General features: G+C 42.3%; 15 protein-coding genes, 1 gene segment (V, D, J or C) and 1 further gene; all 17 read left to right on the plus strand.

Annotated features, from left to right (window-relative positions):
* PCDHA@ (protocadherin alpha cluster, complex locus) overlaps window positions 1-17,289 on the plus strand; it is a 226,209-nt gene that overhangs the window by 179,176 nt on the left and 29,744 nt on the right.
* The window catches only part of PCDHA1 (protocadherin alpha 1), a 226,208-nt gene that overhangs the window by 179,172 nt on the left and 29,747 nt on the right, over window positions 1-17,289 (plus strand). For both annotated transcript variants that reach the window (NM_018900.4, NM_031411.3), the window contains exons 2-3: window positions 13,638-13,696; window positions 17,164-17,252. In NM_018900.4, coding sequence (NP_061723.1) covers window positions 13,638-13,696; window positions 17,164-17,252 — 148 coding nt within the window. The remainder of the gene's footprint in view (window positions 1-13,637; window positions 13,697-17,163; window positions 17,253-17,289) is intronic.
* PCDHA2 (protocadherin alpha 2) overlaps window positions 1-17,289 on the plus strand; it is a 217,496-nt gene that overhangs the window by 170,460 nt on the left and 29,747 nt on the right. The window contains exons 2-3 of the mRNA NM_018905.3: window positions 13,638-13,696; window positions 17,164-17,252. Coding sequence (NP_061728.1) covers window positions 13,638-13,696; window positions 17,164-17,252 — 148 coding nt within the window. The remainder of the gene's footprint in view (window positions 1-13,637; window positions 13,697-17,163; window positions 17,253-17,289) is intronic.
* The window catches only part of PCDHA3 (protocadherin alpha 3), a 211,291-nt gene that overhangs the window by 164,255 nt on the left and 29,747 nt on the right, over window positions 1-17,289 (plus strand). The window contains exons 2-3 of the mRNA NM_018906.3: window positions 13,638-13,696; window positions 17,164-17,252. Coding sequence (NP_061729.1) covers window positions 13,638-13,696; window positions 17,164-17,252 — 148 coding nt within the window. The remainder of the gene's footprint in view (window positions 1-13,637; window positions 13,697-17,163; window positions 17,253-17,289) is intronic.
* PCDHA4 (protocadherin alpha 4) overlaps window positions 1-17,289 on the plus strand; it is a 205,280-nt gene that overhangs the window by 158,244 nt on the left and 29,747 nt on the right. Inside the window, exons 2-3 of the mRNA NM_018907.4 lie at window positions 13,638-13,696; window positions 17,164-17,252. Coding sequence (NP_061730.1) covers window positions 13,638-13,696; window positions 17,164-17,252 — 148 coding nt within the window. The remainder of the gene's footprint in view (window positions 1-13,637; window positions 13,697-17,163; window positions 17,253-17,289) is intronic.
* The window catches only part of PCDHA5 (protocadherin alpha 5), a 190,735-nt gene that overhangs the window by 143,699 nt on the left and 29,747 nt on the right, over window positions 1-17,289 (plus strand). The window contains exons 2-3 of the mRNA NM_018908.3: window positions 13,638-13,696; window positions 17,164-17,252. Coding sequence (NP_061731.1) covers window positions 13,638-13,696; window positions 17,164-17,252 — 148 coding nt within the window. The remainder of the gene's footprint in view (window positions 1-13,637; window positions 13,697-17,163; window positions 17,253-17,289) is intronic.
* PCDHA6 (protocadherin alpha 6) overlaps window positions 1-17,289 on the plus strand; it is a 184,388-nt gene that overhangs the window by 137,352 nt on the left and 29,747 nt on the right. For both annotated transcript variants that reach the window (NM_018909.4, NM_031849.3), the window contains exons 2-3: window positions 13,638-13,696; window positions 17,164-17,252. In NM_018909.4, the coding sequence (NP_061732.1) occupies window positions 13,638-13,696; window positions 17,164-17,252 (148 nt within the window). The remainder of the gene's footprint in view (window positions 1-13,637; window positions 13,697-17,163; window positions 17,253-17,289) is intronic.
* Window positions 1-17,289, plus strand: part of PCDHA7 (protocadherin alpha 7) — a 178,079-nt gene that overhangs the window by 131,043 nt on the left and 29,747 nt on the right. Inside the window, exons 2-3 of the mRNA NM_018910.3 lie at window positions 13,638-13,696; window positions 17,164-17,252. Coding sequence (NP_061733.1) covers window positions 13,638-13,696; window positions 17,164-17,252 — 148 coding nt within the window. The remainder of the gene's footprint in view (window positions 1-13,637; window positions 13,697-17,163; window positions 17,253-17,289) is intronic.
* The window catches only part of PCDHA8 (protocadherin alpha 8), a 171,161-nt gene that overhangs the window by 124,125 nt on the left and 29,747 nt on the right, over window positions 1-17,289 (plus strand). The window contains exons 2-3 of the mRNA NM_018911.3: window positions 13,638-13,696; window positions 17,164-17,252. Of these exons, the coding sequence (NP_061734.1) occupies window positions 13,638-13,696; window positions 17,164-17,252 (148 nt within the window). The remainder of the gene's footprint in view (window positions 1-13,637; window positions 13,697-17,163; window positions 17,253-17,289) is intronic.
* The window catches only part of PCDHA9 (protocadherin alpha 9), a 163,966-nt gene that overhangs the window by 116,930 nt on the left and 29,747 nt on the right, over window positions 1-17,289 (plus strand). The window contains exons 2-3 of the mRNA NM_031857.2: window positions 13,638-13,696; window positions 17,164-17,252. Of these exons, the coding sequence (NP_114063.1) occupies window positions 13,638-13,696; window positions 17,164-17,252 (148 nt within the window). The remainder of the gene's footprint in view (window positions 1-13,637; window positions 13,697-17,163; window positions 17,253-17,289) is intronic.
* Window positions 1-17,289, plus strand: part of PCDHA10 (protocadherin alpha 10) — a 156,451-nt gene that overhangs the window by 109,415 nt on the left and 29,747 nt on the right. For both annotated transcript variants that reach the window (NM_018901.4, NM_031860.3), the window contains exons 2-3: window positions 13,638-13,696; window positions 17,164-17,252. In NM_018901.4, coding sequence (NP_061724.1) covers window positions 13,638-13,696; window positions 17,164-17,252 — 148 coding nt within the window. The remainder of the gene's footprint in view (window positions 1-13,637; window positions 13,697-17,163; window positions 17,253-17,289) is intronic.
* The window catches only part of PCDHA11 (protocadherin alpha 11), a 143,391-nt gene that overhangs the window by 96,355 nt on the left and 29,747 nt on the right, over window positions 1-17,289 (plus strand). Inside the window, exons 2-3 of the mRNA NM_018902.5 lie at window positions 13,638-13,696; window positions 17,164-17,252. Coding sequence (NP_061725.1) covers window positions 13,638-13,696; window positions 17,164-17,252 — 148 coding nt within the window. The remainder of the gene's footprint in view (window positions 1-13,637; window positions 13,697-17,163; window positions 17,253-17,289) is intronic.
* PCDHA12 (protocadherin alpha 12) overlaps window positions 1-17,289 on the plus strand; it is a 137,040-nt gene that overhangs the window by 90,004 nt on the left and 29,747 nt on the right. The window contains exons 2-3 of the mRNA NM_018903.4: window positions 13,638-13,696; window positions 17,164-17,252. Of these exons, the coding sequence (NP_061726.1) occupies window positions 13,638-13,696; window positions 17,164-17,252 (148 nt within the window). The remainder of the gene's footprint in view (window positions 1-13,637; window positions 13,697-17,163; window positions 17,253-17,289) is intronic.
* Window positions 1-17,289, plus strand: part of PCDHA13 (protocadherin alpha 13) — a 130,224-nt gene that overhangs the window by 83,188 nt on the left and 29,747 nt on the right. Inside the window, exons 2-3 of the mRNA NM_018904.3 lie at window positions 13,638-13,696; window positions 17,164-17,252. Of these exons, the coding sequence (NP_061727.1) occupies window positions 13,638-13,696; window positions 17,164-17,252 (148 nt within the window). The remainder of the gene's footprint in view (window positions 1-13,637; window positions 13,697-17,163; window positions 17,253-17,289) is intronic.
* PCDHAC1 (protocadherin alpha subfamily C, 1) overlaps window positions 1-17,289 on the plus strand; it is an 86,049-nt gene that overhangs the window by 39,013 nt on the left and 29,747 nt on the right. Inside the window, exons 2-3 of the mRNA NM_018898.5 lie at window positions 13,638-13,696; window positions 17,164-17,252. Coding sequence (NP_061721.2) covers window positions 13,638-13,696; window positions 17,164-17,252 — 148 coding nt within the window. The remainder of the gene's footprint in view (window positions 1-13,637; window positions 13,697-17,163; window positions 17,253-17,289) is intronic.
* PCDHAC2 (protocadherin alpha subfamily C, 2) overlaps window positions 1,165-17,289 on the plus strand; it is a 45,872-nt gene continuing 29,747 nt past the window's right edge. Inside the window, exons 1-3 of one of the 2 annotated variants that reach the window (NM_018899.6) lie at window positions 1,165-4,020; window positions 13,638-13,696; window positions 17,164-17,252. In NM_018899.6, the coding sequence (NP_061722.1) occupies window positions 1,456-4,020; window positions 13,638-13,696; window positions 17,164-17,252 (2,713 nt within the window). In that variant the 5' untranslated portion in view covers window positions 1,165-1,455. Of the gene's footprint in view, window positions 4,170-13,637; window positions 13,697-17,163; window positions 17,253-17,289 lie in introns of those variants that run through there. The other variant, NM_031883.3, reaches the window with a different exon arrangement.
* PCDHACT (protocadherin alpha constant) overlaps window positions 13,638-17,289 on the plus strand; it is a 33,396-nt gene continuing 29,744 nt past the window's right edge. Inside the window, exons 1-2 of the C gene segment in view lie at window positions 13,638-13,696; window positions 17,164-17,252. The product of the transcript in view is annotated as a protocadherin alpha constant (C gene segment).

Below are 17,289 nucleotides of genomic sequence, written 5' to 3' on the forward strand. Positions count from 1 at the left end.
CTTTTACTGAAGTGAATTTGTTGTCTCTGTGTTGCCTCTATAGCAGTACAAGAGGAAACTTGGGGACACAGAAGAACAGAAGTCTAAGGAGTCTTATATTTAAGGAAGATAAGCTGCAGTCATTGAAATTGCTGGTTATTGTAAGATAAATCCCAGACTCCCACATTTTGCTTAATGACAGCAGATTTTTTTTTTTTTTTAACTGCAAAGCATTAATGGAATCCAAATTCCAGCCTGGCTTAGGAGATCAACAGTAACGCTCTTGATTTAATGGTTTTGCAGACTCTTGAAGACATTGTCATCCATTAAAGAAAAAATTTTAAATTACTCTTGAAAGAAAATGTCTTGGGTGATAAATGTAAAAGATTTGAAGCAAGATTAGAAAAAGCTTGAGAGAAGAATCTCTTTAAAAATTTTACCAGATTTTCCCCATTGTCGCCAAAATGGGTCAAATAATAGATTTGCCTACAGCTTCATGGAGACTATTTTTTTAAACAGAGCATTTTAAACATTTAAATATTGGTTATTTGCCAAGGCACACACTGAAAATAAGGGCCACTTGGCCGAGAGCAGAATTGAGTCTTGGATCCCAGGATGCTGGTTTTAGGCTTGCTCCCGGAAAGAGGGCAGCATTTGCCATCCCCCTCCTTTTGCCCTAGGAGTTGAGCACTTTCTGCAGTACTTAAGAGTGTCCAGGGAAGATGTGGGAGTCAGGTGAATAGTTCCCATCGCCAGTAACCCCAGAGCGCCTCCCCCTGCGTTGTTTCCTTTTAATGTTAGATCCGCCGCCTGGGTGCCCATACTTAGCTAAGGCCCCTCAGTTTATTTTCCTGAATTGCGCTTGGAGATCTTTTCCTGGGGAGCTGATAGCCAGACTTCTAGGGGCTTGACTGCTTTTCCCAGACTAATCTCCTTAAAGACCCGTTAAGCAGGGGAGAGACGGTGGAGACTGGATGAACTGGACAGTGGGGGTAGGGAGAAAGGGAGTGGCCGTGTTCCTGCGGTCCGCTGGGATCCGGCAGGTCCAGGGTGAAGGAGATGGGGCTGGAGAGGCTGAGCAGTCCGGGTTCGCTGTCCGCCACTTCGGCGCGGAATCAGAGCAGGACTTGCTGAGCCCTCCTACCGCTCCCTTTCCCCCTCCCCCTCTGTCTTCCCTTCTGTTTCCTTTTCCCTCCCCCTGGAGCTGTAGCGGCAGCAGCAGCAGGAAGCCGAGCCGGGTTGAGCGACTCGGAGGCGAGCGGAGGAGCTGGAATATGGGGAGTCAGCGAGGACGGTGGGGCCAGGAGCCCTTGGGAGGGCCTACGGAGGGAGCGGCCCCAGGCGCTTTCTAGAGCGTGAGCGGTGGGGGAGCAGGCGCAGGGTGGCACGAGCGGAGGCGGGGCCCGGGCGTGGGGCACGGCTGGGGAAGCTGCCGCCTCCGGCCCTGCCCGGCTGCCTCCGCCGCGGCCAGTGGCTATGGAGCAGGCGGGCACCAGACCTGCGGCGACAGAGCATCCACGGCTCCGGCGGCCCATGCCCTGGCTGCTGCTACTGCCTCTCCTGCTGCTGTTGCTGCTGCTGCTACCTGGCCCTGCGGCCTCCCAGCTGCGATACTCTGTGCCAGAGGAGCAGGCACCCGGCGCGCTCGTGGGCAACGTGGCTCGCGCGCTGGGGCTTGAGCTGCGGCGCTTGGGGCCGGGTTGCTTGCGCATCAACCATCTGGGTGCGCCCAGTCCGCGCTACCTGGAGCTGGACCTGACGAGTGGAGCGCTCTTCGTCAACGAGCGCATTGATCGGGAGGCGCTGTGTGAGCAGCGGCCTCGCTGCCTGCTCAGCTTGGAAGTGCTGGCGCACAACCCCGTGGCGGTGAGCGCCGTTGAGGTGGAAATATTGGACATCAACGACAACTCACCGCGTTTCCCGCGGCCCAACTACCAGCTTCAGGTAAGCGAATCGGTGGCGCCTGGAGCGCGCTTTCACATAGAGAGTGCGCAGGACCCCGACGTGGGCGCCAACTCAGTACAGACCTACGAGCTCAGCCCCAGCGAGCACTTCGAGCTGGACCTTAAGCCCCTGCAGGAGAACAGTAAAGTGCTTGAGCTGGTGCTGCGTAAGGGCCTAGACCGGGAGCAGGCAGCCTTGCACCACCTGGTTCTCACAGCCGTGGATGGGGGCATCCCAGCCCGCTCGGGTACGGCACAGATCTCTGTGCGTGTCCTGGACACTAACGACAACTCTCCTGCCTTTGACCAGTCCACTTATCGCGTCCAGCTACGGGAGGACTCACCCCCAGGCACATTGGTGGTGAAGCTGAATGCCTCAGACCCGGATGAGGGCTCCAATGGTGAGCTCAGGTACTCCTTGAGCAGCTACACGTCGGACCGGGAGAGGCAGCTCTTCAGCATAGATGCCAGTACCGGGGAAGTGCGAGTAATTGGGGGGCTGGATTATGAGGAAGCCTCCTCCTACCAGATCTATGTGCAGGCGACTGACCGGGGTCCAGTGCCCATGGCAGGTCACTGCAAGGTGCTGGTGGACATCGTGGACGTGAATGACAATGCCCCAGAGGTGGTGCTCACGGACCTGTATAGCCCAGTGCCTGAGAATGCTACACCCAACACCATTGTGGCCGTTCTCAGTGTCAATGACCAAGACTCAGGCCCCAACCGGAAAGTGAGCCTGGGTCTGGAGGCCACACTGCCTTTCCGACTGAATGGCTTTGGAAACTCCTATACACTGGTGGTGAGCGGCCCACTGGACCGAGAGCGGGTGGCTGTCTACAACATCACGGTGACAGCCACAGATGGGGGAATACCGCAGCTCACATCCCTGCGTACACTGAAGGTTGAGATCTCTGACATCAATGACAATCCACCAAGCTTCCTGGAGGACTCCTATTCCATCTACATACAGGAGAACAATTTGCCAGGTGTGTTGCTCTGTACTGTGCAAGCCACAGACCCAGATGAAAAGGAGAATGCAGAGGTGACCTACTCCCTTCTGGAGAGGGAGATTCAAGGGCTGCCAGTCACCTCCTATGTCTCCATTAACAGTGCCAGTGGCAGCCTTTATGCTGTCAACTCCTTTGACTATGAGAAGTTTCGGGAGTTCTTTGTGACTGTGGAGGCTCAGGACAAGGGGAGCCCACCACTGAGCAGCACTGTGACTGCCAACGTATATGTGGTGGACATGAATGACCATGCCCCTCACATTCTGTACCCTACCTCAACCAACTCGTCAGCAGCCTTCGAGATGGTGCCTCGAACTGCCCCTGCTGGCTACCTGGTCACCAAAGTCATAGCTATGGACTCAGACTCTGGGCAAAATGCTTGGCTTTTTTACCATCTAGCCCAGACTTCTGACCTGGACCTCTTTAAGGTAGAGCTGCACACAGGAGAAATTAGGACTACCAGGAAGATGGGAGATGAGAGTGGTAGCACTTTCAACCTGACCGTGGTGGTCCGAGATAATGGAGAGCCATCACTATCAGCCTCTGTGGCCATTACAGTAGCTGTGGTGGATAGGGTTTCCAAAATCCTCCCTGACACTCAGAGGCATGTTAAGAGCCCTCGGACATACTCTGAAATTACCCTTTATCTAATAATAGCATTAAGCACAGTGTCTTTTATATTTCTTTTGACAATCATCATTTTGAGCATCATCAAGTGCTACCGCTACACTGCGTATGGCACTGCATGCTGTGGAGGCTTCTGTGGAGTAAGGGAAAGGTCCCCTGCAGAACTGTACAAACAAGCCAACAACAATATTGATGCCAGGATACCGCATGGCCTCAAAGTGCAGCCTCACTTCATTGAAGTTCGAGGGAATGGCTCCCTCACCAAGACCTACTGCTACAAGGCCTGTCTGACAGCAGGCTCAGGGAGTGACACTTTCATGTTTTACAATACAGGGGCCCAGACAGGACCAGGGCCTTCGGGAGCCCAAGCAGCAGTGACTGACAGCAGGAATCTCACAGGCCAAAGTGGTCAGAATGCTGGGAACCTGATTATTCTCAAAAATGAGGCTGTTTCTCAAAATGAGGTGAGACAGTGGTCAGGGGGTCTTCTACAAACTCATGCATTTGTTACACATCCCCCAATATCCTGTGATTTGGCTTTATTGAGTCATTAACAGTGACAAGAGTTATCTGGTAAACTGAGTATATATAGTATCCACAATTTGATCATAATCTGCTATTTCCTCTCTAGAAAAATAGCACTAAAGAATTGTTTTATTTTTCATTTTCAGAGGCATGAAGCCTTGTCCATAAAATTGTTTGAGAAGTGAGGATTAGTCTTAATATTTAATGCTAAAACACAGATTTGTAGAGAAACAGGACAGGCCTTGGAATAGGGATTATGTTTTAGGGAGTAATGTTATGAGACTCAAGGAGAAATGGCCTCTGCTGTATCATCTACAGGGAAATTTTTCTTTTGAAATCCTATATGAGTGATGTTTCTTAAAAAGCTCTGAGGCCTCTAGGGGCTATCATAGTCACCACTATCTGCTGTCTCTGTTTATACTCTGGACTGTCTACAGTGGAAATTATCTAGTTAATATTTCTGGTACTTGCACTGAACCTATGTGATAGGATCCTCTGGAAATGCATGTCACAAGTGATAAAGCTGTAGTATTTAGACATCATACTGAAGCTAAAGTTTGCTTTGGCTGTATGATGTGGCAACTCTTCTGTAGAGGGCTGTCAGAGGGAGTGGATGATGGTGAGGCAGAGAGATTAAGTACCAATTTGTCTGGTTGGTCCAGGGAGGTATTAGAATGAGTGGATTAGGGGTGTGGGGGGATGGTGAAGACCAAGAGAAGCTGGGATTAGAAGGAAGAGAAGGGAAAAAGAATTCTCCCAATAGTCACCTTTCTTGGCATACTCTGAATTCATTGTAAGAGGATTTCCCTGAATTTAGCTTAAATGCAGCCTGTAATCTTCTGATTTTCTGTTGACAGTTTCTATGGTTTTGATGAGATGTAAAGTAGCCTTTTCAAGTCCTTCATGTCTTTAAGTTAAATGACAGTACTTCCAAAGCATGCATTCATTTTCTGGATCTAAAATTTGATTTGCTATAGCTTCAAAAGGCTGGCTTGGAAAGTGGATGGCTTACCCTACAGTAAGGTGTAGAGGCAGGTGTTAGTATATGCACTAGTTTTGAGATTTAAGTAGGTATAAGGCCAGCTTGTTCATTATTATGAAGAATGTACATAAATTATTAGAAAGTAGATGAATATGTGTGTGTGTTTGTGTTGTGTGTTCGTCTCCATATGTATGCTTGAAATAACAGAGATATGCTTTGTGATACTTAAAACTTGGATTTCAAAAGCCAAAATTTTGTACCATAAATAGTGATGAATTGTTATCTTTCCAAATAACTACTTTGTAGAAAGGGCTTTTAGAGCTACTACACAATGTGTGAACAATATTTGTCTCTCCTCTATTTTTTGCAATATATTTTCATTGACATATTGCTGTACATACATATTGTATGTAATATCCATATTGTTACATTTCAAGTTCATGGTAATCTTGAGGAATGTAATGCACAGGCACAAAAGTTCCATTCCTGATTGAGAGTAGATTTTTCTCATGGACATTTCAGATAGATTTATTCATTTATCAGAAGTGCCTGGTGTTAGTCAATGCTGAGAAACCATGGGAGGCAGATTGTAGATTAAGAAAAATGGGGGAATAAATCAAAGAGTTTCCAGAAGTCTTTAGATCGTAGCATTTGAAAGCACGTAAAAGGGTTTAGCTTTAAATAAGGTTGCTGTAGACATTTGCTTAACAAATTCTTGTGAAGCCCTTTGGGATTGGGGTGGGCTACAGGTGGTGAAGAGGCATGAACAAGTCAGGCCAGGCTCAGCTTTGCCACCAGCTGTAAGCCGGAAGCTCAGAGGAAAGACACTGTTACCCTCCCTCTCCTGACTCAAAGCTTGGGGCAATTTGATACATAAACTATTTCTGTCTTACACTGACCTGTATATTAATATGTACTTTGGTACACAAACATTTAATCTAGGGAGAAAATTATTTCAGAAAGTGCTTGCTTTTGGGAGATTTTGCCAGGAGAGTGCATGACTTTAATAAAGGCAAATTTCTGCCAGGCACTTTTGGAAATCCAGTGAAGAACCCCAAGATCTACAGCTCCAGAAATTTTTGCAGTTATAGGGAGAGAGTGTCACATTGTTACAGTGTGGCAAGATAGGAGCAAAAGCCACTCAGTTCTGAAAGTCATCATTGCCAGATCAACCTGTTAAATTCCCATGTTGGGCTTTCTTTTTTTCCTACCTAGTTACTACAGATGGCAGGAGAGTCCTGGGGTACAATTAGTACCATGTGCCTACATTAAAAGTAGATGGGAATTAGAGAGGAAGAGTAAGGGAATTTGTACTCACTAACCACCCTGCTATATAGATATATGTATATCATACATATACACATACATATATCTCATATTACTGAATCTTGAATATTATTCAAGATTATTCAATATATTGAATATTATAATATTGAATACATATATGATTTCATTACCTGCAAGTCATGCGTTAAATATTTGTTAACATCTAGCATATGAGGAAATAAGCTCAGGGAGGTTAGGTAATCTACACAGCCACACTGCTAGTGTTATTTTAAGTTGTATCCATCTGACTCCAAAAACTTTTTTTCAATACTATGAGTAGACAGAAGTTCCAATGTTTATATTCCCTTTTATATGGGATATTCAGGCATTTAAGCTATCACTAATTCACCTAGTCGTATATATTAACTGCTTTTGGAAAAAGAGTAATTTCTGGCATAGAAGCAGGTAACAAATGGGAATATCAGTGAGTTACTACTATTTTTTTATTTTTATTTTTTTGAGACAGAGTCTTGGCCTGTCACCCAGGCTGGAGTATAGGTGTGAATATGGCTCACTGCAGCCTCGACCTTCTGGGCTCAAGCAATCCTCACACATCAGCCTCCTGAGTAGCTTGGACCATAGATGTGCGCCACCGTGTCTGACTAGTTTTTAGGTGTTTTTTTTTTTTGGAAGAGATGGGGGTCTCACTATGTTGCACATGCTGTTAGTATATTTGTATTTGTTTATTTGCTTCACTATTGGCAAACCCTGTTAAGATCTTTTATTTTTATTATTTCACTGATTTTTCTCTTGTTGCTTATTAAACATCAGCATTTAACCCCAGACTCTAATCTGTTGGTAGATTTTACCCCCAGTGAGCTTATTTCATAAATCACTTGTGCAGTGAGGATTCTGAAGTAACTATTTGGCAATAGGGCAGAATTTCTCTTTGGAAATTTCTGAACTTGATACTGAATGTTGTTGGCACTCCCTTCAGAGTCTCCATAAAAAGAAACCAAATTTTTTTTTTTTTTTTTTTTTTGAGATGGAGTCTCACTCTGTTGCCAGGCTGGAGTGCAGTGGCGTAATCCCGGCTCACTGCAACCTCCGCCTCCCAAGTTAAAGTGATTCTTCTGCCTCAGCCTCCTGAGTAGCTGAGATTACAGGCACGCGCCACCACGCCTGGCTAATTTTTGTATTTTTAGTAGAGATGGGGTTTCATCATGTTGTCCAGGATGGTCTCGATCTCTTGACCTTGTGATCCACCCGCCTTGGCCTCCCAAAGTGCTGGGATTACAGATGTGAGCCACCATGCCCGGCAAAGGAAACCAAATCTTAAGGTAGATTCTGTGCATTTGTGGTCGTGGTGTTGTGATTGTTAATGAGTCACTTTGAGTACTCTAGTAGATTTGTCCAACAGTGTCTCAGTGGGCCCAGCTGGCACAACATGTAGAAATTATGAAAGAGTAGCAGAGATGAATTAAGTTTGCATTCACTTTCACTTATTTTAAAGCAATTTGTAGTCACCAAACCTTCAGTTATTTCTGCCACTATGTGTGCATATTCACCCTAATTCCAGGTATAGTGACCTGAAAGAGTTAATTCTTCTTTCAGTGGCACCTACTTTTATTTCCCCCAGCACTGATTTTTCTATCTGATGACTCTATCCTGGAACAGAGTTTACACTCGTTGTAAAGTGACATAGTAGTGAATTTATAAAAATTGCACAATGGTCAGAATAGACAAAGAAATCATATCTATGAGCTTCCACTCCAGTTTTTCATCCTCTGATGGTCACTTTATAATGACTGGGGCTGTTTTAGTTTGCAAATTTCATATTGGTCACAGGACTCTTCTTCTGAGAAAAAGTTTATTTTCTTTGGTCTGATGATACAATAATTTATTTCAATTACCTCTTTCCTCAATTTTTCTACAGACTGCTGAGCCAGATGGAATTATGGCTGAGCTCTTCTCTGTTTCTGTATCTTGTACACATTCTGACTGAAGAAGAAATCTATTTATTGTAGCTTGAATGTCATTGGCCTACTGTTTCCTTCTGACCCAGGAGTGAGCCATCACATGGGCATCTGGTCTAACTCAGAACACTCTGCAGGGACACAGCCTGGCATATTATAGGTTGCCTATTGGCATGCTGTCTACTTGACAGAATAGCAAAGTCAGTTCTGGGTACTTGCTTGTTGCCTACCAATTTTTGCTCTCAATGAGAGGTCAGAATAATGTCAATTTGCAAATGTTTGAGGAAACATTCCTGTCACCAAACCCAGAGGTTTAGCTGAATATGATGGCATTTTACAGGTGTCTTTAAATGTGGCTTTTACAGAACTTCACCTGGATCAATGTTTTGTGCATGTGATAATACAACTATAAATTTAGCTTATTAATATGATAATATTTGGAGCAGTATAATCTATAACCATGACTTCAAAAATCAAAGGTTAAAAGTATTCTTTTGCAGTGTTTTAAATCTGCTAACCTGAAAACTATACAAGGGTTTTTCTTTCAAGAATTTTAACTTGACAAATGCAAAGGAATATCCAACATTGCAAAGGTAAAGAGAAATCTTAGTTCCTTGGCATATAAGCACCATCAGTTCCTTTCTGGCCTTCCAGGGTCAGAACTCTGGGCTCCAAGGAGGTACAACTGTGAGTGAGAGAGTAGCTGCTGTGCTAGCAGGCTATGCATCCAGAACTAAACAGACCTAGCACTTTCTGTTGTACTGGAACCCATTAGGTATGTTCTAAAGTTATGTTTATTTTACTTTCCTGGTTTGTAAATTAGCATTTTAAATGACTACATTCAGAGGAAAGTATTCCACCCAGAATTCTCAAATGTATTACCTTTGTGTTTTATTTTATTTTAGTTTTTTTGAGACGGAGTTTTGCTCTTGTTGCCCAGGCTGGAGTGCAATGGCATGATCTTGGCTCACTGCAACCTCTGCCTCCAGGGTTCAAGCGATTCTCCTGCCTCAACCTCCCGAGTAGCTGAGATTACAGGCATGCGCCACCATGCCTGGCTAATTTTGTATTTTTGGGTTTCACCATGTTGTTCAAGCTGCTCTCGAACTCCTGTCTCCACCTTGGCCTCCCAAAGTGCTGGGATTACAGGTATGAGCCACTGCGCCCAGCCCTCATTTTGATATACTAGAAGACCAATATGCAACATAATGATTATTTTAAATGTTATATTCCCTTTTGCCTTAATGCGGAACAGTCTATGTATCCCTTTTCTGATGATTTGTAACAAATTACCACAAGTAAGTTGTTTAAAACACCACCTATTTGTTATCTCACAGTCCTGTACCATGTGGCTGAGTTGTCCGCTCAGGTATTCTCAAGGCTGAAATGAACACAGCTGGGCTGTGTTGTCCTTTGCAGGCTCTTAGGAAGAATCTACTATCGAGCTCATTCAGATTGTTGGCAGAATCCAGTTGTTTGGGGACTGAGATCTCTGTTTTCCTACTTACTATTGGCCTGGGGTCACTCTCAGTTCCTAGAGAACTGAGGACTCAGGACTCTTGTCCCATGGTCTGCTCCATCTTCATGGCTGGCACTGGAGAATCTTCCCTCACATGGAATCCCTCTTATGCTTCAGATCTCTCTGATTTCTGTCTCTGACCTCTAGACCCAGATTTAAAGAGCTCATGTGATTATGTCAGTCCCATCCAGATGATCTCCCTTTCTTAAAGCCAACTGTGCTACATAGCATAATGTAATCATGGGAATAAGATCCATCACAATCACAGTCTTGGAGACTATTCAGGGTGTGCACACCAGGATATAGGGATCTTGGGGCCATCTTGGAATTCTGCCTATCAGTTTATATCAATGTTCATAAAATAGCACTATGCAAAATCTGCAGTGGATATATTCTTAATACAGTCCTATTAGGAAGGAAAAGGAGATATTATATGCAGTCTCATGTCCCAGAGGGCAATTTGTTGATGTCTTCCACATGGATTTCCATGGTACGAAGATAGCATATTATTTCATTGAGTAGTTGTGTGAGTTTATTAATAAAATAGGGTATTTTAAACTTATTTTACTTTAAATCTTAGAAGAGGTGATTCATCCTTCTGTAGCTCAAATATTCTATGTCATAAATCACAGATAATACCATTACAAGATAAATTAAATCTTTTTTATAATTTTAATAGGAACTGAAGTGTATTCTTATTCTTCAGTAATACTACATCACCCATATGGACTACCTAATTGATTTTTTCCACATATGGAGTTTTGTGACCATTATTCTACCAAAAGACTAACCTTTGAAGCAATAGGACATATTAGAGTTCTTCACCAATAGAAAGTAAGCATAGTCCTGGGAGGTACCATCTAAGTATTAAAGAACTAAATAATCACAGTTATTTCAACTGTGATTGAAATTGTGATAGTAATATATGTCTTACTGTGTCAGATATATCAGTAGTCAACTTTTCAACTTGAATTTTTCCAAGTTTAATCAAGTTCTGGATGAAACTCATGTACATTTTACTACTTTTAGTTTTGTATTGTTTTAAATCAATATCCTGGAAACTCAGAAGTAAAAAAGAGAAAGAAGAAAAATATATGTCATTTCATGTAAATTTATTTAAAACACAGACTTTTGGCAAGGCACAGTGGCTCAAGCCTGTAATCCCAGCACTTTGGGAGGCCGAGGAGGGTGGATTGCCTGAGGTCAGGTGTTCAAGACCAGCCTGGCCAACATGGTGAAACCCCATCTCTACTAAAAATTCAAAAATTAGCCAGGTACGGTGGCAGATGCCTGTAATCCCAGCTACTAGGGAGGCTGGGGAAGAAGAATTGCTTGAATCCGGGAGGCAGAGGTTGCAGGGAGCCAAGATCGCGCCACTGCACACCAGCCTAAATGACAGAGTAAGACCCTATCTCATAAATAAATAAATAAATATAAATAAAACACAGACTTTTGTGTTAAGGGGACCTAAACATGACTGTCAGCTGAACTCAGCAATCAGACAAGTAATTTAATCTCTCCAAAGTTCAGATGTCTCATTTTTGCAATTTAAGTACAATAATGTTGACTTTGCATTATAGTTCATTTATTTAAACACATTTTAAAAACCTCCCAGATGCCAGAAGCCTGCTAGACTCTGACTATATAGCTACGCTTTTATGAATATCTGAAGATATGCATGTGTCTAATGAGCAAAACAGATATAATCCCTTTCATAGAGTTTACTGTCTGACAAAGAAAGAATTAGGATACATGCAACAGTATGTAATAAAGTGCAAAATCTAGTACTGTGTAGCTACTTAAAACATATTATATGCTTTCTTCCTTTCCTTTTCCCTGCCTGATCTTACTGCCATAAGAAATCTTGTAACTGTGATTCTGTCAAATGAATCTAAGAAGGATGTTGTTGCTGATGGACTAGTATAGAAAATAGCAGCATGACAAATTAAATGTGTCATTGGGGAAGTGAGATTGTATAATGAACTGAGTTTCCTGGTCAGTCCTGCTGGAACTGTGCCTTTCAGCAAAATGAGTTTGATGATTTCATTCCAAAGATCAAGTTGCAGCAATTTTCATCATGAATGTTACCCAATCATAGAAAAATTGGCAACATTTCTCAGCAGATGTTACAGTCTTTCTCAAAGGAAGGTTCTCTCAGCTGACAAGCTAACGATAGTGCTCCTGATGGCGAGGGGAGAGACGGTGATGATGACTGATTGATAAAAAGTATTTTAGTCATATTTCCAGGTTTATAAAATGATTTGCAAACATTTTCTTTTGTTCCCTCTAACACCGCTAGTAGATAATGGAAACTCCTTTGATTTGGTCTGTAGATAATTTTATGCTATGTTATATGGAATATCCACAGCATTTTGTGAACTTGAAAACAAAGGAGGAAGCAGCTTGCATATGCATATCTTGCTAGCAGATTGGTAGAATAGAGAGAGCAGTTAGCATGTGAGGACCATTGAGGTAAAGTATCCCAGAGTTGTAACTTTTTCTGGGCCTTGACTTTGGCTAATTCTCTGCATGCCAAATATCATGTAGCCATCCAGAAATCTGTCTGAATATTGAGATGGTGATCATTTCTCTCCTGGGTGTTATGAAGAAATGTGTTTATTAAATACTTTGCATCCCTTAAAGGAACTATATGAATGATAGGAATAAGAATTATTGACAGTTTTGAATGGTCTATTGATATTACTATGGCTTTGTTTCTACCAAATATGGTAAGTATAATGTAGAGGAAAATACAAAATACAACTTTTATCCCCCATTTTTTTCATTCAACTATACCTCAATATTCAGTGACAGGGCCACCTCAATCTCCGCCCATGAAAACGCATCTAGAGGAGTGTCACAAGTTTTTCACAGTGACATTTTTGCTTACTGATACAAGACAGTGATGGTGACTGATGATGTCCCAGTGATTTCTGAGTAGCTTCTAACCAGCACATAACTCCCCCAACAGTCTTTAAGTCTTTAGGTGCCCATATTTTCCTCTTTGTTCTCCCCCTTCAGACTGAGAGTTTGTAGAGAGAGGGCAACAGATCTTTTCAATACACAACTAATGCAAAATGTATCAGGTTTTTCTTGGATTTCAGCTACTCCCTGTTAAACAATCAGAGCTTAGTGAACAGTGATTCAGTGAGGAGGGAAAGCACTCAGGAAGGAGCAGGAACAAGTACAAGTTTATGAAAAGGATTAGCTAGCAAAACAAGGTCAAACTCTGCAATAGTTTGTTTTCCTCTCCCTAGTATCCCTCTTCAATCAGAAAAGAGACTGTTATCAGTTGCTGGTGTTATGACTGGGCACATCCGCCCTGGGTCAAATATGCTGCAGTCTGCAAAGCCAGCAGCAGATTGCAGTCCTCTGCAGTCCAGCCAGGCCAGCAGAACTTGTGTAGCCATGTGCCCTGTTATAGCTGTAATACTGAATTGGGAATGTTCCCTTAATGGGGCACTTGAGGGCAAAAGCAGTGAAAGCTTTTCCTTTCTCAAAGCAGACTGTTCTTCCCGTAGTGTTTTAAGAACACAGACATGTATTGGGCAAGGCAAAGCCAAAGGTGGCCTTTACAAGATTATTAAATCTGGTCTTCCAGGGTATCTAATCTGTGTGAGGACCCTGATGAACTAATTTTCTTCTAAAGTGCTATATATGTAGATATCATCATAGAGTTACACATGAAATGGCTCATTCAATACTTTTTTAGATGCCTGGAAATATTTAAGGGAGTAACTAATCAATTAGCAGCATTCCTGGGAGAACATTGTCTTGTCATTTTAACAGAAAACTCTCTTTGTGATTTTGCAGCCACGACAGCCCAACCCTGACTGGCGTTACTCTGCCTCCCTGAGAGCAGGCATGCACAGGTATGTATTTCCCTCCTCATTCACTCAGAAGTAACCTTAACTTGGTATGGCTCAGATAAACTGCATCTCCATAGGCCAGAAGCAGCTGTCAAAACTAAAAAGCTTTAGGTACTTTGCCAGGAAAATGCAATTATTTTGTCCCCATGTTTATTCCTTGAAAGATCGCAAATGGTCAGTGCCAGATGCTTATCAAGTGCTGGCATATAAGAGTCCTCTGTAAAATCACAGAAACAGGCTGCTATGTATTTTCTCCCATCAAAATTTCTACAGGGAAGTAATTTCAACCTCCTTCATCCCTCTCTACCTATGCTTTCTTTTCCTCCTTTAAAAACTGTAATTAATACTCATGCTTTGAGACTTGGGTACATTGTGCAATGTATACATACATGTTGTCTACCTTGTTTTTTTTTTAATCTCACATTGGCTATTACATCCTATTACCCTCAATAATTGATTGCTATTGTTGTTTGTGTTCACACCTATTAGAGCCTCCTCATCTTTCCCATCTGTTGCTATCTTATTGTCATCAATGACATGGTTCTTCAGAAGATGAGCCATGTAAAGGGCTCCAAATCTAGCTTACTTTAAATTAACCTAGAGTAACGGTATTAGTCTAAGACTCAGATTAAATATAATTTTGCTTTCTCTACTTTGTCTCTCTGACAGTAATTGATTAACTACCATTATTTCTGGAGGTGATCCAGTATCCATGCCATGGGGCCAAATAAAAGATTCATTATTTGCGAATGTCTTTGGAAACCAAATGGGAAGGACCAAGAAACAAATGATCACAACTATCAAAAGGATTTAATTTTAAAGAAGAAATAATCTTCAAACTTAAGCCCCTCAAAATATCTGGGCAACTATCAAGTGAATATTCACCAAACTTAGATCAGTTCGTAAAGAGAAAGCCTACAAAGTATGTGTAGAGTTAATGTGAAATTAGTTTTAGCCCATTAAAATGCATTAGATTGAAATAAATTAACATACTCTCAAGCATTACAAATGAGCAGAAATCATTACATTGGGTGCTATTTCTGATTCAGAAGCAATCAGTGAAGGGCTGAAGATTAGTAGTTGGCTTGGTAAGATGTCACATTGGAACCTGGGTCATAATTTTAGGCCAGAAACATTCATGCATATACCAGAATATTAGGTATCAGAAGAAATTCTTTATATTTATTAGAGACCAACTTGTGCTTTTGCCTGCATCTGAGCTGTTGGTGGAGACATGCAATGGGTAAAAGCATGGTTTACAGTACCAACTCTTGAAAAGTACCAAAGCTATGAGTTGTGCCTTAAAAACTACATTTGAAATAAAACATTAAAACATAACTTCCTGGACTGGGCGCGGTGGCTCACACCTGTAATCCCAGCACTTTGGGAGGCCGAGGTGGGCAGATCATGAGGTCAAGAGATCGAGACCATCCTGGACAACACGGTGAAACCCTGTCTCTACTAAAAATACAAAAATTAGCTGGGCGTGATGGCATGTGCCTGTAGTTCCAGCTACTAGGGAGGCTGAGGCAGGAGAATCGCTTGAACCCGGGAGGCGGAAGTTGCAGTGAGCCAAGATCGAGCCACTGCACTCCAGCCTGGCGACAGTGCGAGACTCTGTCTCAGAAGAATAAATAAATGAATAAAATAACATAACTTCCTTATCCCATTTTCAAATTGAAAAAAAAAAGCCAAATGTGCTCCTATTCGGGTTTCAATTAAGATATTATGAGATTTGAGTAGGGTAAGAAATAAAATAAAAATTGAAATTAAAATGCCATTTCTTTTTTGCATTGTAATACATTGAACATATTAAATGAGTTGTGAACCTAAATAATACTAATCTTTTTCGTATGTGTGCTTGGGTGTTCTCGGTCTTTCCAGTCTTGGACATCATGTAACTATTCTTTAAAAAATTCTGCTTTGAGCTGAGCTGGCTCCAGGATAGTTACACCTTCATGAATCTGACTGAGCCCACACAATTTGCTAGTAGGATCCAGGAACACTTGAAGGCTGTTAATATTTGGGGAAAAAAAACAGATAATTCTAGAGTGTAGACAAGGGGAAGAATAGTAAAAGGTCAGAGTTTAATGAGTGAATTTCTACTGGATATGTTGTTTGAAGTCAAAGAGTGAGAAAACATTGAACTTATATGTTGCCTTCCCTCTAATAGTTCAAGTTTGCCTGCTCTGTTGCCTCATATAACCCCTTTAGTCAGTAGTCTAAATTTTATTTTAGAAATTTAACTTTCAAGATAAGCAAATGTCTAGTTTAAAAGGGTCCTCTAGTCTAGGTGTAGTGGCTCATGCCTGTAATCCCAGCACTTTGGGAGGGTGAGGCAGGTGGATCACTTGAGGTCAGGAGTTCAAGACCAGCCTGGTCAATATGGTGAAAACCTGTCTCTACTAAAAATACAAAAATGAGCCAGGCATGGTGGCGGGTGCCTGTAGTCCCAGCTACTTGGGAGGCTGAGGCAGGAGAATTGCTTGAACCTGGGAGGCAGAGGTTGCAGTGAGCTGAGATCGTGCCACTGTACTCCAGCCTGAGTGACAGAGTGAGGCTTTGTCTCAAAAATAAATAAAATAAAACAAAATGTTCCTCTAATTTTGATGAGGGTTTTCTTGGACATTTTCTCTTAGGATCCCACTTATTTCTTCCTTCCTTTCTTCCTTCCTCCCTTCCATCATTCATTCATTCATTCATTCATTCATCCAACAAATATTTGAGAGATTAATATGAGTTAGTATTAGACATACATAAATGAATACTGCACCATGTTCTCTTTTCCCTTGAACAGTTTATGTTCTATCTCTGCTTGCCTCTAAAGGTCTCCCAGTTTGTATCTCACTCCCAGCAATGTTTTATGCTGAATTAATCTCTTCTGAGCGGGGATCTGTGAGTGGTGGTGATCAAGTTTCTCTAGTCTCAGGAAATATAGGGTGGGTCATCTATGCATAAAAGATATAGAAAGAGTAAAATAGAAAATAAGGTTAAGAATTAATTAGATAGCCAAATTGGAACAATACTCCAATTATCAGAAAATATTTTAGTGTGTTTTCTTCTTTAGAGTAGAGAACCTAGGAACAAGAGAACCTGCAAGAGAGGCTTGGAACTTTTGAGAACAAGCCCTCCTCATCTGCTTCAGTATCGAGATGTTAAAATGGCTTAGTCCTCTGATGGGCTTCCTGTTAGATTTAGTGAGCGCCACATGGCGTTAATAAAAAACAGAATTGCCATAAAGATAGAACATGTGTGTTCCTGGAATAGTATAGCAGGCAATAAGTAAGTCAGCAATGCTTCTGCAGTTTATGCAGGGTGACTGCTCAGCAGTAATTGCTTCAGTTCAAGCATGAGCAGAATGTGTTAGCTGCAGCCCTGGCTTCATAGTTGTAAGCAATTTCTGAGGGTGGAAGAAGAGATGGGAAAGAATTTATGATCTAACCGTTATCTGGGTCTGTGTGTTTATTCAGCTCTGTGCACCTAGAGGAGGCTGGCATTCTACGGGCTGGTCCAGGAGGGCCTGATCAGCAGTGGCCAACAGTATCCAGTGCAACACCAGGTAAAGAGCTGGGGTCTCTCCATTCTTTCTTGGTTTC

Source organism: Homo sapiens, chromosome 5 (assembly GCF_000001405.40).
Source record: "Homo sapiens chromosome 5, GRCh38.p14 Primary Assembly".
Classification (NCBI taxonomy): Eukaryota; Metazoa; Chordata; class Mammalia; order Primates; family Hominidae; genus Homo; species Homo sapiens.